An 11364-nucleotide genomic window follows, 5' to 3' on the forward strand; every position below is an offset into this window, starting at 1 on the left:
AACTCCTGACCTCAGGTGATCCACCTGCCTTGGCCTCCCAAAGTGCTGGGATTACAGGCGTGAGCCACTGCGCCCAGGCTCAAAATAGTCCTTCTTTTAGCTTTTATGTTATCTCTCCTTCCTAGCTTTTTTTTTTTTTTTTTTTTTTTTTTTTGGCTTAGGCAGCTAGGAAGCCCAGAGCTCTATCTTCACCTGAAGCCACGAGCATTTGAGGAATTATGTGCTCAATATTGTTAGATGCCGCATATGCACAGAAATAGAGGAAGTTACACGGGTTTCAGCCTCGTTGAAGAAAAGCATCGACAGGGAAATTAGAATCAGTCAAGCAGCCAGAACATATGTAAATGTTACCTTATGCGGCCTGTGGGAATGAAGCACAACAGGACACGTGGGCGCGGTAGTGAGCAGGGCCGGCTCTACTGAGGAGGTCGGTGAGCAGAGTCCGCAGCGGAAAAGGCGAAGGCGACGTGACGTCCAGCAAGCTCGCCATGTTGAGAAGGTAACACGGCGAAGCCCCGCCCAGCTGGGATGGAAGGCGCCGTTGGAAGGAACGTGAGGCACAGTTGGAAGCAGGCAACGGTGGGCGTTGCAGGCTCGTGAACAAGAACAGGAAGCGTGCTCGCTTCGGCAGCGCATGGACTAACATTGGAACGGTACAGGGAAGATCAGCAGGGCCCCTGTGCCAGGACGGCACGCGAATTCCTGAAGTGTTCCAAATAAATAAATGAGTAAGAACAGGAAGTGGTACTGGGCGTTTCAGGAATAATAACGAGCAGCGGGGAACCAGGGCTCTGCGGGGCTCATGGCGAGTTATGGAAGCTGTTACGAATCTGCCTTATGGTGAGGAAGACAGAGATCGAGGTGTTGGCAGTGAAATGGAAAGTAAGGGGTGATTAAGGGAAAATATTTGAAATTGAAGAATTGACAGGGATCCATGGTTTGTTAGACATTGAAAATAATAACAAATGTGGTAGGCTGCTTCTCAGTGAGCTCCCACTATCCCCTTTCTCCTGGGAGCCACACTGCAGTGGAAGCTCTTCCCCCAGTGTGGGCTAGACCTAGTGACTCATTTCTAATGAACAGAATATGGCAGAGTAAGGGGTCACTCTTACAAAAGAATGTGGCTTCCATCTTGGGTGTGAGTGGCCTCCGGGGAGACCCGCATAACAATGAAATGATGTCCCTGGACCAGCCAGAGAGGACCAGAGGACTGTCAGCAGTCCCATGAGCGAGCCTGGATGTGAATGCGTCCCCTGATCCCCGACGTTCAGCTGTGAGATGGCCGCAGCACTGGCCACAGCCTTGACTGCAGCCTTGTAGAGAACCTGGGCCAGAGGATGCTGCTAAGCCACGCCTGGACTCCTGAGCCACAGGGACTGTGAATGGATCAAAGTGTGCTGTTTGAAGCCACTAAATCCAGGGGGCATTAGTTACACAGCAATGGAGAAAAAGTACAACAAGCTTACAAGACAAAAAATAACTTTTATCTCAAACATAGGACACCAGTTTATTCAGTTTACATATTTGGAGATATGGTTTTTCTGAAAATTAACCAAAGGGGGAATGAATAAAGAAAAAGAAACATCAAGGCAAGGAAAGGAAGAGAGCCCACATCTAATAGAGGAAATGTCGTTGCCCTTTTAGTACAGAAGACAGAGATCTCTCTTCCATGGGTAATGGCTCTCCTGTGTTAGCCATCTACTTGCTGTCCCCAGCATTATGCAGCGACATATAACTGGACTATGTTCAGAAAATTAAAATGACATATTCAAGGTAAATATCTAGGAACATTTCAGCCCTTAGGAAGTAGAAGAAATACCTCCTGTTACAATCTCCATATTTTCTAATAGATAATGCAACTCATTCTGCTACACATCAGCTAGTTAACTAGCAACACTTTTTCCAGTGCTGACCAGTGCAGGAGTTCTTTGAAAGAATTACTTGTTTCAAAGAGGTCGAAGTGCAGAGTACAATGGTGATTGCCAGGAGTTGGAGGCATGGGGCATGGGGAGAGGTTGGTCAAAGGGAGGATAGTCTCAGTCAGATAAGATGAGTGTGTTCTGAAGATCTATGTATGAGACGGTGCTGTCAATAATAATGTATTATTGTATACTTGAAATTGTTAAGAGACAAATGTTCTCACCACAAGAAAAACCAATAACTATGTAGGTGATGGATGTTAATTACTTTGACTGTGGTAACCGTTTCACAGTGCGTGCATATATCAAAACTTCCCATTGTGCGCTGTAAATATACACAATCTTTATATCTCGATAAAGCTAGGATGGGAGAAGGAAACACTTATAAATCACAGCACACTTGAAGGAAAGAGGAACAGACACCTATTTCAACATGTAAGATCACAACAGAAAGAAGAATGTGAGTTCCATGAAGGCAGGCATTTGCCTTGTTCTCGTCATAGTCCCAGGCCCTGGCGCGTGTTAGATGGTCCCTAGTGATGAGGTGAGTATAATTAATAATGGAGACTAATACCCAGGGTCCTTAACTATATGCACAAAGCAAACACACTTTATCCTCTATGTAATTCTATATTAATTAGCACTCTTAGTTTATAAGCTTACTAACCATGTCTTGATGAGTGATTCTGTTATCCAAACTTTCAAGCCCATTGCCAGAAACCAAAGCTATTGGTCAGTGTGTTAGTGGTCTCCAGGGAAACAGGAGCAATGGGATGCACGTGGTGGGTAATTTCACATGTCAGCTTGGCTGCACCAGGATGCTCAGATATTTGGTCAAATGTTATTCTGGATATTCCTGTGAGGGTGTTTTTGGATGAGACTGACGTTTCAATGGGTGAACATTGAGTAAAGCAGACTTCCCTCCATAATGTTGGGGGGGCTCATCTGAGCAGCTGAAGGCCTGAATGAAACAAAGGCTGATATCCCCCAAACAAGACGTGCTTCCGTAGCAGATGGCTGCCAGCGTTAACTGCAGCAGTGCCTCTTGGTCTCCAGCCTGCTGGCCCATTCTAGATGCTGGACTTGCTAGCCTCCACAGTCTTGTGAGCAAATTCCTCAAAATAGATCTCTCTCTCTCTCTGTACATTGTATTGCTTCTGTTTCTCTGGAGAGCCTTAACACAATGTGTGTGTGTGTGTGTGTGTGTGTGTGCACATGCACATATAGAGAGTTTTTTGAAATAATTTTTAATTATTTTTTAATACTTTTATTTTAGAGATGGGGTCTCACTGTGTTGCCCAGACGGGTCTCAGATGGGCTCAAGCAATCCTCCCACCATGGCTTCCCAAAGTGCTGGGATTACAGGCATGAGCCACTGTGCCCAGCCTAAAGAGATGTATTTTAAGGGAAGATCTGGTTCTGCAGTTCAAGTCTGAAGGCCACCTGCTGACAGAATCCCCTTTTCTCAGAGGGCGGTCGATTTTCTCTTAAGCCCTTCTTCAACTGACTGGATGAAGGCTGCCCACATAATGGAGGGGAATTGGCTTCCTCAAAGCCTACTGATTTAAATGTTAGTCTCATTTTAAATATATCCTTACAGAAACATCTGGAATAACGTCTGACCAAATATCTGGGTACAGTGATCCAGCCAAGTTGAGACATGAAATTAATCACCATGGCCTACATTTTTATCTGTTTGGCTGCAATTCTGTCAAAGGCTTCTGCTCTTCATAACATTTCACTCACTAGCTCCATGAAGCCATATGATACAAACCTTGCCTGTGTAGCCTTCACTTTTTTCCAAAAGAAGTCTATTAAATGCCAATCAAGTATCTTCTCCTCCAAGCTCAGTAGCTCGGGCCTTCAACAGCTGTTCCCCATTCCGATCCATCTCCCTGAGCTACCCTGGCATTCTTATCAGGACACTGGAGGAATCTATGTATGTGCCTCTAAAGATTCAGCACCCAAACATGATAGAAATCACTGTGTTCACACTGTATCTCTATATCTGCCCATCCCTTTAAATCAGTCCAATAAACCAGATTAGAATCAGTAATAGGACTCAGCTGCTTTCTTTATACCGTTGATGGTTCTGGTTTAAGGACCATCAATGGTATAAAGAAGGCAGCTGAGTCCTATTACTCAGCTGCTGTGTATAAAGAAGGGAGAATGGTTTGAGGATGCTAGACATCCAGCTGACATCCAGCTAACATCCTCAAACCATTTTCCTTTAACTTCTAACCAAAATGCCAAGAAAATCAGGGGGGCAAGGTTAACATTAACAACATACGACAGACCACCTAGTGTCAGACTGTGCATGGTGTTCGCGATAATAATAACAAAGATGAAGCTTGCCTGAGAAAAATCTTGGCCAGAATTCAGCACATCCTACCTAAGGACAGTCCATCAGAAACAGACCACTTGGAAAAGCTGAAAGTGTTTGTTTTCTGAAACCGAAGTACCTGTAGCAACCGGCCCAAGGTTCTGGAGAACAGAATTAATAAAAGGAATCAAACTTATGCTATTTTAGAAGGTTTCTTTAAGAACCCCATAGTGTGGCCGGGCACAGTGGCTCATGCCTGTAATCCCAGCATTTTGGGAAGCGAAGGCGGGCGGATCACGAGGTCAGGAGTTTGAGACCAGCCTGGCCAATATGGTGAAATCCCGTCTCTACTAAAACTACAAAAATTAGCTGGGCATGGTGGTGTGTGCCTGTAGTCCCAGTTACTTGGGAGGCTGAGGCAGGAGAACTGCTTGAACCCGGGAGGTGGAGATTGCAGTGAGCCGAGATCACGCCGCTGCACTCCAGCCTGGGAGACAGAGGGAGACTCTGTCCCCACCCCCCGAAGAAAAGAACCCCATAGTGCAATTATATGTATCCAGGACCCAACCCAGAAATGAGAGGAGGAGGTGCCTGCCCACTGGGAGTGTCAGCAGAGGGCTTTGCTTCATTCTACTCTCCAAGACCCTTACATCTAACCTGCTCCCCCTGACATCCAGGCCTCTTCATCTGAGGCCAAATCACTATTGCCATGCAGCTTAGGCTTGCATGCAATAATGACTTGCTTATACATTTTTGTAAATGTGCACTTAGGTCTAATTAACGATTTTCCTGTGGACAGGTGATAGACCTGTGCAGATTCTTTTTTTTTTTAAGATGGAGTCTCACTCTATCGCCCAGGCTGGAGTGCAGTGGTGCGATCTTGGCTCACTGCAAGCTCCGCCTCCCGGGTTCATGCCATTCTCCTGCCTCAGCCTCCCAAGTAGCTGGGACTACAGGCACCCATTACCACATCCAGCTGATTTTTTGTATTTTTAGTAGAGACAGGGTTTCACCATGTTAGCCAGGATGGTCTCGATCTCCTGACCTCGTGATCCGCCCGCCTCAGCCTCCCAAAGTGCTGGGATTACAGGCGTGAGCCCCCTCGCCCGGCCCCTGTGCAGATTCTTTTGGTCATTTTTGTTTGGTCCATGGTTCATTCTGTAACATTCTAAACTCTTGCCAAGCTGCAGTGAGCAGGTTCTCTATTTGCCTTCTATCTGCTAGTCATCTTTCAGTGCTGTCTATCTCTTATAGGATGGCACAGAATAACTTCCCTCAGCCACAGTTGAAGCACCTCTACACTTATGCATAAATCAGCTATATATTAGCCAGGTGTAGTGGTGTGTACCAGTAGTTCTAGCTATCTGGAAGGCTGAGACAGGAGGATTGCTTCAGCCCAGGAGGTCAAGTCTGCAATGAGCTATGATTATGCCACTGCATTCTAGCCTGGGCAACAGAATGAGACCCCATCTCTTAAAAAAAAAAAAGTCAGCTGTATGTCTGTATCCCCTTCCTCAATCCATGCCCCTATTATTGCCCTTTCCACACCAATTCTATTCCTGCCCTCCCTCCATCAGCCTCAAATTTTTAGAGCTTGCACAGACCAAATAGTAGAGTTATCTCTCTCTACTGTATTGCTATGTGAAAATGACAGACGGTGGTTTCTTTCTCCCATTTCCAGTCCCATCTTTTCAACACCTAGACAGCACCTACAAATCCTAGGATAGAAAAGTGGAGAGTAACCTACATGGAATCCATGGAAAAGCTAGTATTTCAGAAAAAAATAAATGGGGGATCATCTAGGAATCTCTAAAAAAGAGCATATCTCTGAAAGTTATCTCTGTCAAGATCCAGAAGAATATATCAACAATTTCTTGGTATCCTAAAGATATTTTATCCTCTATTAATGTATTGGGTATCCATTGCTCCATAACAAATTGCTCCCAGCTTCACGGCTTAAAGCAACACCCATCTACTCCCTTGCATTTTGCAAGCATCAGGAATCAGGCTTAGCTGGGTCCTCTGCTTCAGCTCTCACAAGACAGCAATCATGATGTCAGCCGGCGGCATTCTCACTTGAGGCGCAAATGGGGAAGCATTTGCTCCGACACTCAGGTTGTTAGTGGCATTCGTTTTCCTGTGGTTGCAGAATGGAGGTCCCTGTGTTCATCCAACTGTGTGCCTGAGGCCACTTTCAGCTCCTAGAGGCTGCCTGTGGCTCTTGAGGACGCCTACAGTTCCTAGATGCTGCCCACAGCTGTTCGCCACACAGGGCACCTACTTCATCAAGCCAGCAAGAAGAGTTTCTAGAGCGAGTGGACTAGCCAGCCAGAGTCTTCTAGAACATAGCATATCATGGAGCAAAACCCCAGCCCCTTTGCCATACTCTGTTGGCTATACAAAAGACATAGGTCCCACCCACACTCAAGGAGAGGGAATCATACAAGAATGTGACTATCAGAGTGTGGGGATTGGGACTCCACCCTAGAGCAGGCCATTACCATGAAAGAAGAGAAGAAAAATCATAAGGAGAGAAGCAACTTAAACGAAAACTTGCCAGTATTAGATTGAAAAAAGGAATTATGCTGCAAAAAATCAAATCAGTCATGTGAAAAATAAAATTTCTGAAGAATGCATATGAAATGACTGAAAAGATGAAAACAAGTCAGAAAATGACAGATGATGTACAGAAAAGAGAGCCAATGTTTGGAAAAAACTGGTGTTCCTTCAGAAAGCTGAGAACAAATGTGACAGAAGCAATAAGCAAAAAAGATGTATATAATATGTATGAAATTATATATGGATGTAAATCAAGATATCTAGATATTAGAAGAACACTTTCCACATAGGAAGCTACACCACTATGCCTCAGTTAAAATGGTGCACCATATGCAAAGGAAAAATTGTGTAAAGATAGACATCCATCCTGGAAGAGTCTGAATGAGAATGATAAGGATTGCACCCTGAGAAAGTAAGGCAGAAAACGAGCAGTTTCTTTTAGAGGATTAAGCTGGCCTCATATTCCTCCTCCTGTAGCAATAAATGCCAAGGCACAGAGAATCTTTTCTATAGACTTTTAGAGAGGAAAAGACTCATAGGCCATGAATTTCATAACTAACTGTCTTCTGTGCAAATGTTGGAGACAAAGTTAAACAAGAATTATGAAACAATGCTTACGTCTCCCTTAAAAACTGTCTTGAGAACCAAACTGAACAATTAGCAGCAGGAAACATATGAAAGAAGAAAGGCAATCTGTGGAATGAAAAATGTATACACTAATATATAATTATTGTAACTAGTACTAAAAGAAAAGGTAAATATTAAATCTTTAAAGAAGGCACACAATTTTTAAAATAATTTGGACCTAAAACTACAGATTAAATTACAAAACCCAAAACATCATATTCAAGTATTGACATATTACAAACCCATAATATTAGCCAGTTTGTGGGTAGCCCAAAACACACTGGAATGGAATAGAAAACCATCAACAGATTCGTGTTTCCATAAGACAAAGGAACCAAGCATTTATGTGGAGAAATCTAAGTAAACAGGTTACCAAAATTGTCTCAAGTATAGAAAACTTCAGTAGATCAAAGGCCTTGAAAAAATTTTAAAAATCTCCAGGAAGAGATGAGCAAATTCTACCAAAACCTCATGGGATAGACATTTTTGTTAAGATACAATTCACATAACATAACATTCACCGTCTTAACCATTTGAAAGTGTACAAGTCAGTGTTCTCACATATATCCACAATGTTCTACAACCATCACCATCAATTTCGGAACATTTTCATCACCCCAGAAACAATTAAGCATTAAACAGTCACTCCCCATTCCCTGTCCCACTAATCTATTTTCTGTCTCTATGTGTTTGCCCATTCTGAACATTTCACAGAAATACAATCATATGCAGCTGACCCTTGAACAACACGGGGTTAGGGAAGCCAACCTTTCGCACAGTTGAAAATCTTCATATAACTTTGGACTCTCCAAAGACTTAACTACTAATAGCCTACTGTTGACTGGAAGCCTTACGGATAACATAAACAGTTGATTAACATGTATTTGGAATGTTGTATATATTAGATACTGTATTATAAAATAAACCAGAGAAAAGAAAATGCTATTAAGAAACTCATCAGGAAGAGAAAATACATTTACCATTCATAAGTGAAAGTGAGTAGGCTGAGGAGGAGGAGGAAGAGGAGGGGCTGGTCTTGCTGTCTCACGGGTGGCAGAGGCAGGAGAGTAGAGGAGGAGAGGCAGGAGAGGCAGCATACTCAGTGCAACTCGTATAGAAAAAAACTCCACTTATCAGTGGACATGCACATTTCAAACCCTTGAACAACCCTGAGTTGTTCAAGACTCAGCTGTAATATGTGGTCTTTTGTGTCTGGCTTCTTTCACTGATCATATTTAGTATCCATCTGTAAATTGGCATGATAAGGCCCAAGAACTATGGGCAGGCATCGATGTCCTCTGCTACACCTCTGGCATCACTTCAGTCCATTCACACACCCTCCAGTATGTGAACCGCTCCAGTAAGTTCATTTTGCCTCATCCTTAGTTTTTCAAAGTGATTTGTTGGAAGGAAGAAGGAAGGGAGGGAGGGAGGAAGGAAGGAAAGGAGGGAGGGAGGAAGGGAGGGAGGGAGGAGGGAGGGAGAAAGGAAGGAGGAGAAAGGAAGGAGGGAGGGAGGGAAGGAAGGAGAGAGGAGGGAAAGAAGGAGAGAGGGAAGGAGAGAGGGAGGGAAGGAAGGAAAGAGGGAGGGAGAGAGGGAGGGAAGGAAGGAAAGAGGGAAGGAGAGAGGGAGGGAAGGAAGGGAAGGAAGGAAGAAGGGAAGGAAGGAGGGAGGGAAGGAGAGAAGGATGGAAGGAAGGAAGAAAGGAAGGGAGGGTGGGTGGGTGGGTTAGTGGGACTAGCTATAGTCCCTACTGTGGCGATTGGTCTTAAAGCCAGAGGTGATACTCATCATTTCCGCCCTCCACCACTCATCCTAAATCCCCTCACCTTTGGTCAGCATTGGTGCTGATTTACGTTGCTTACTTGGCAGAAAAACCCAATATTCACCCCTGATGACCAGGTCCTTGTGAGACTAAGGTTGCTGCAGTTGCACATTTATGGTTATTAATGAACATTCAGCAATAACAGGTTCCCTGGTGAATATACTAACTTCCCGATATACTCCTTCCAGCCCAGTTTTGTACCGGTGACTTTTTTTTCCATATGATAATCAGAGTCAATAAGACCCTACATGTATAGGAAGTCATTTTGTTGCCCAATGGTCTACTGGTATGAGGAGCTCCAAATGACCAGAGAGCAGCCATAGCTTCAAGTTTGGCAGAACCTCTACCTCTTTCTGGGGCAAGCATCTCCCTCCTGGGCTATAGTGCAGCTGAGCCTGAAGTTTCAGCATGGGGAGCACCAATTCCCTGAGTCGGTCTCTGGATCTAACCATGAGAAGGAACATCCCTGCTTCCACTGCTGGGTCCTGTGCCTTGCCTGCTACCTACTGAACATCCAACCCCAAATCCTGACTATTGGTTCTATGTACAGTCCCCACCTCGAAGGTCAGAGTCCCAGCTCCACTGGATATCATTCCAAGCCTGTGTATCAGCAGCACTTTTAAGAGGCTGTATTAGTGTGTTAGGGCTGTTATAACAAAATACCACAGACTGGATGGCTTAAACAATGGAAGTTAATTTTCTCAGCATATGGAGGCTGGAGTCCAACCTCAGGGTGTCAGCAGGGTTCGTTTCTTCTGGCGCCTCTCTCCTTGGCTTGCAGGTGGCTGCCTTCTCACTGTGTCCTCACATGGTCACCTTCCATCTAGGAGTGTTATCTGTACCCTAATTTCCTCCTTATAAGAACACCAATCATTTGGGATTAGGGCCCAAATGACCTCATTTTACCTTAATTACCTCTTTAAAGGCCCTATCTCCAAATATAGTCACATTTTGAGTTACTGGAGATTAGGACTTAACATATTACTCTTGGAAGGACACAATTCACCCATAGCAGAGGTCATTCCAACATTCTGTCTTGGCAGCAGGGTCCGGGTGATGTGACAATGTTATTCCCCCTGTCACACATCCTTGGGCATAAGGAGAATTCCTTGATGCAAAGAGATCTCACTCAGTGTCCCATGATGATAACTCTGGCACTCGATGAAAACTGGGTAGTGCTGGCAAAGGCACCACAGTAGGGAAGGCATGTCTGGAATACATGTCAATACCCCCTCTCAGTTAAAAGTGTCCAATGTAATCAGCTCGACACGGCATGGTGGTTTGGTCTCCTTGGGGGCTGGTACACAGTGAAGATTCAGTATCCATCTCTGCTGCTGACGACGCAAGCATTCTGCAGTGGCAGTCGCTAGATCAGCCTGGAGGGCAGGGAACCCATGCTGTAAGGCCCACGCAGAGACCCTCTTCCCACCGCTACAGATACTCACGCCATACGCTCCCCCACACAGAGACCCTCTTCCCACCGCTACAGATACTCATGCCATACGCTCCCCCACACAGAGACCCTCTTCCCACCGCTACAGATACTCACGCCATACGCTCCCTGTGCAACCACGAGGGTCGGCTGGAGGAGAAGCAGGATGCCTCCTCTGAACAAGTCATCCAATCCACCAGATGGTTTGGGTCTTCCTTGCTTTTTGTGTTCCTACTCTCATGGGTCCAACCATATGTCTGCTTCCTGGACATCCTTGCCTTTTTTTTCCAATTTTAATTCTTCCAGGCCCTTAACTAACCAGCTAAACTATTTGAAATTGCCCAATACCCTGTTTATCCTTGTTTCAGGCCCCTTTTCCTTTCCCATGATGTTGGCGATCAGGGGCACTGTTTGAATTCTGCTTACCAGGAGCGTTTCTCTTCACCGTTGCCCTTCAGTGTGCCCTGAGTGGGGCTGTGACGCAGCAGTAATCTGCTCCTGCCAGCTTCCTTCTTCCAAACATCTAGGAACCACGCCCAAGTTTTCACCTCCTTGTTCATACAACATGGGTGAAAGAAACAAGACACAAAAGGGTGCGTACTGCATGGCTCCGTGTCAATCTAGCCAATAACAGGTGAAACCAATCCCTGCTGATGGAAGTAACGAGACTGATTACATG

At 44.9% G+C, this 11364-nt stretch overlaps 1 long non-coding RNA gene and 1 pseudogene across 2 annotated transcripts in view; one reads left to right on the forward strand and one right to left on the reverse strand.

The window, feature by feature from the left end:
- Positions 1 to 565, reverse strand: part of F11-AS1 (F11 antisense RNA 1) — a 214961-nt gene extending 214396 nt beyond the window's left edge. For both annotated transcript variants that reach the window (NR_033900.1, NR_033901.2), the window contains exon 1: positions 352 to 565. This is a non-coding gene — a long non-coding RNA (F11 antisense RNA 1). The remainder of the gene's footprint in view (positions 1 to 351) is intronic.
- On the forward strand, positions 616 to 718 carry RNU6-1055P (RNA, U6 small nuclear 1055, pseudogene; annotated as a pseudogene).

The sequence above is a fragment of the Homo sapiens genome, chromosome 4, assembly GCF_000001405.40.
Source record: "Homo sapiens chromosome 4, GRCh38.p14 Primary Assembly".
NCBI lineage: Eukaryota > Metazoa > Chordata > Mammalia > Primates > Hominidae > Homo > Homo sapiens.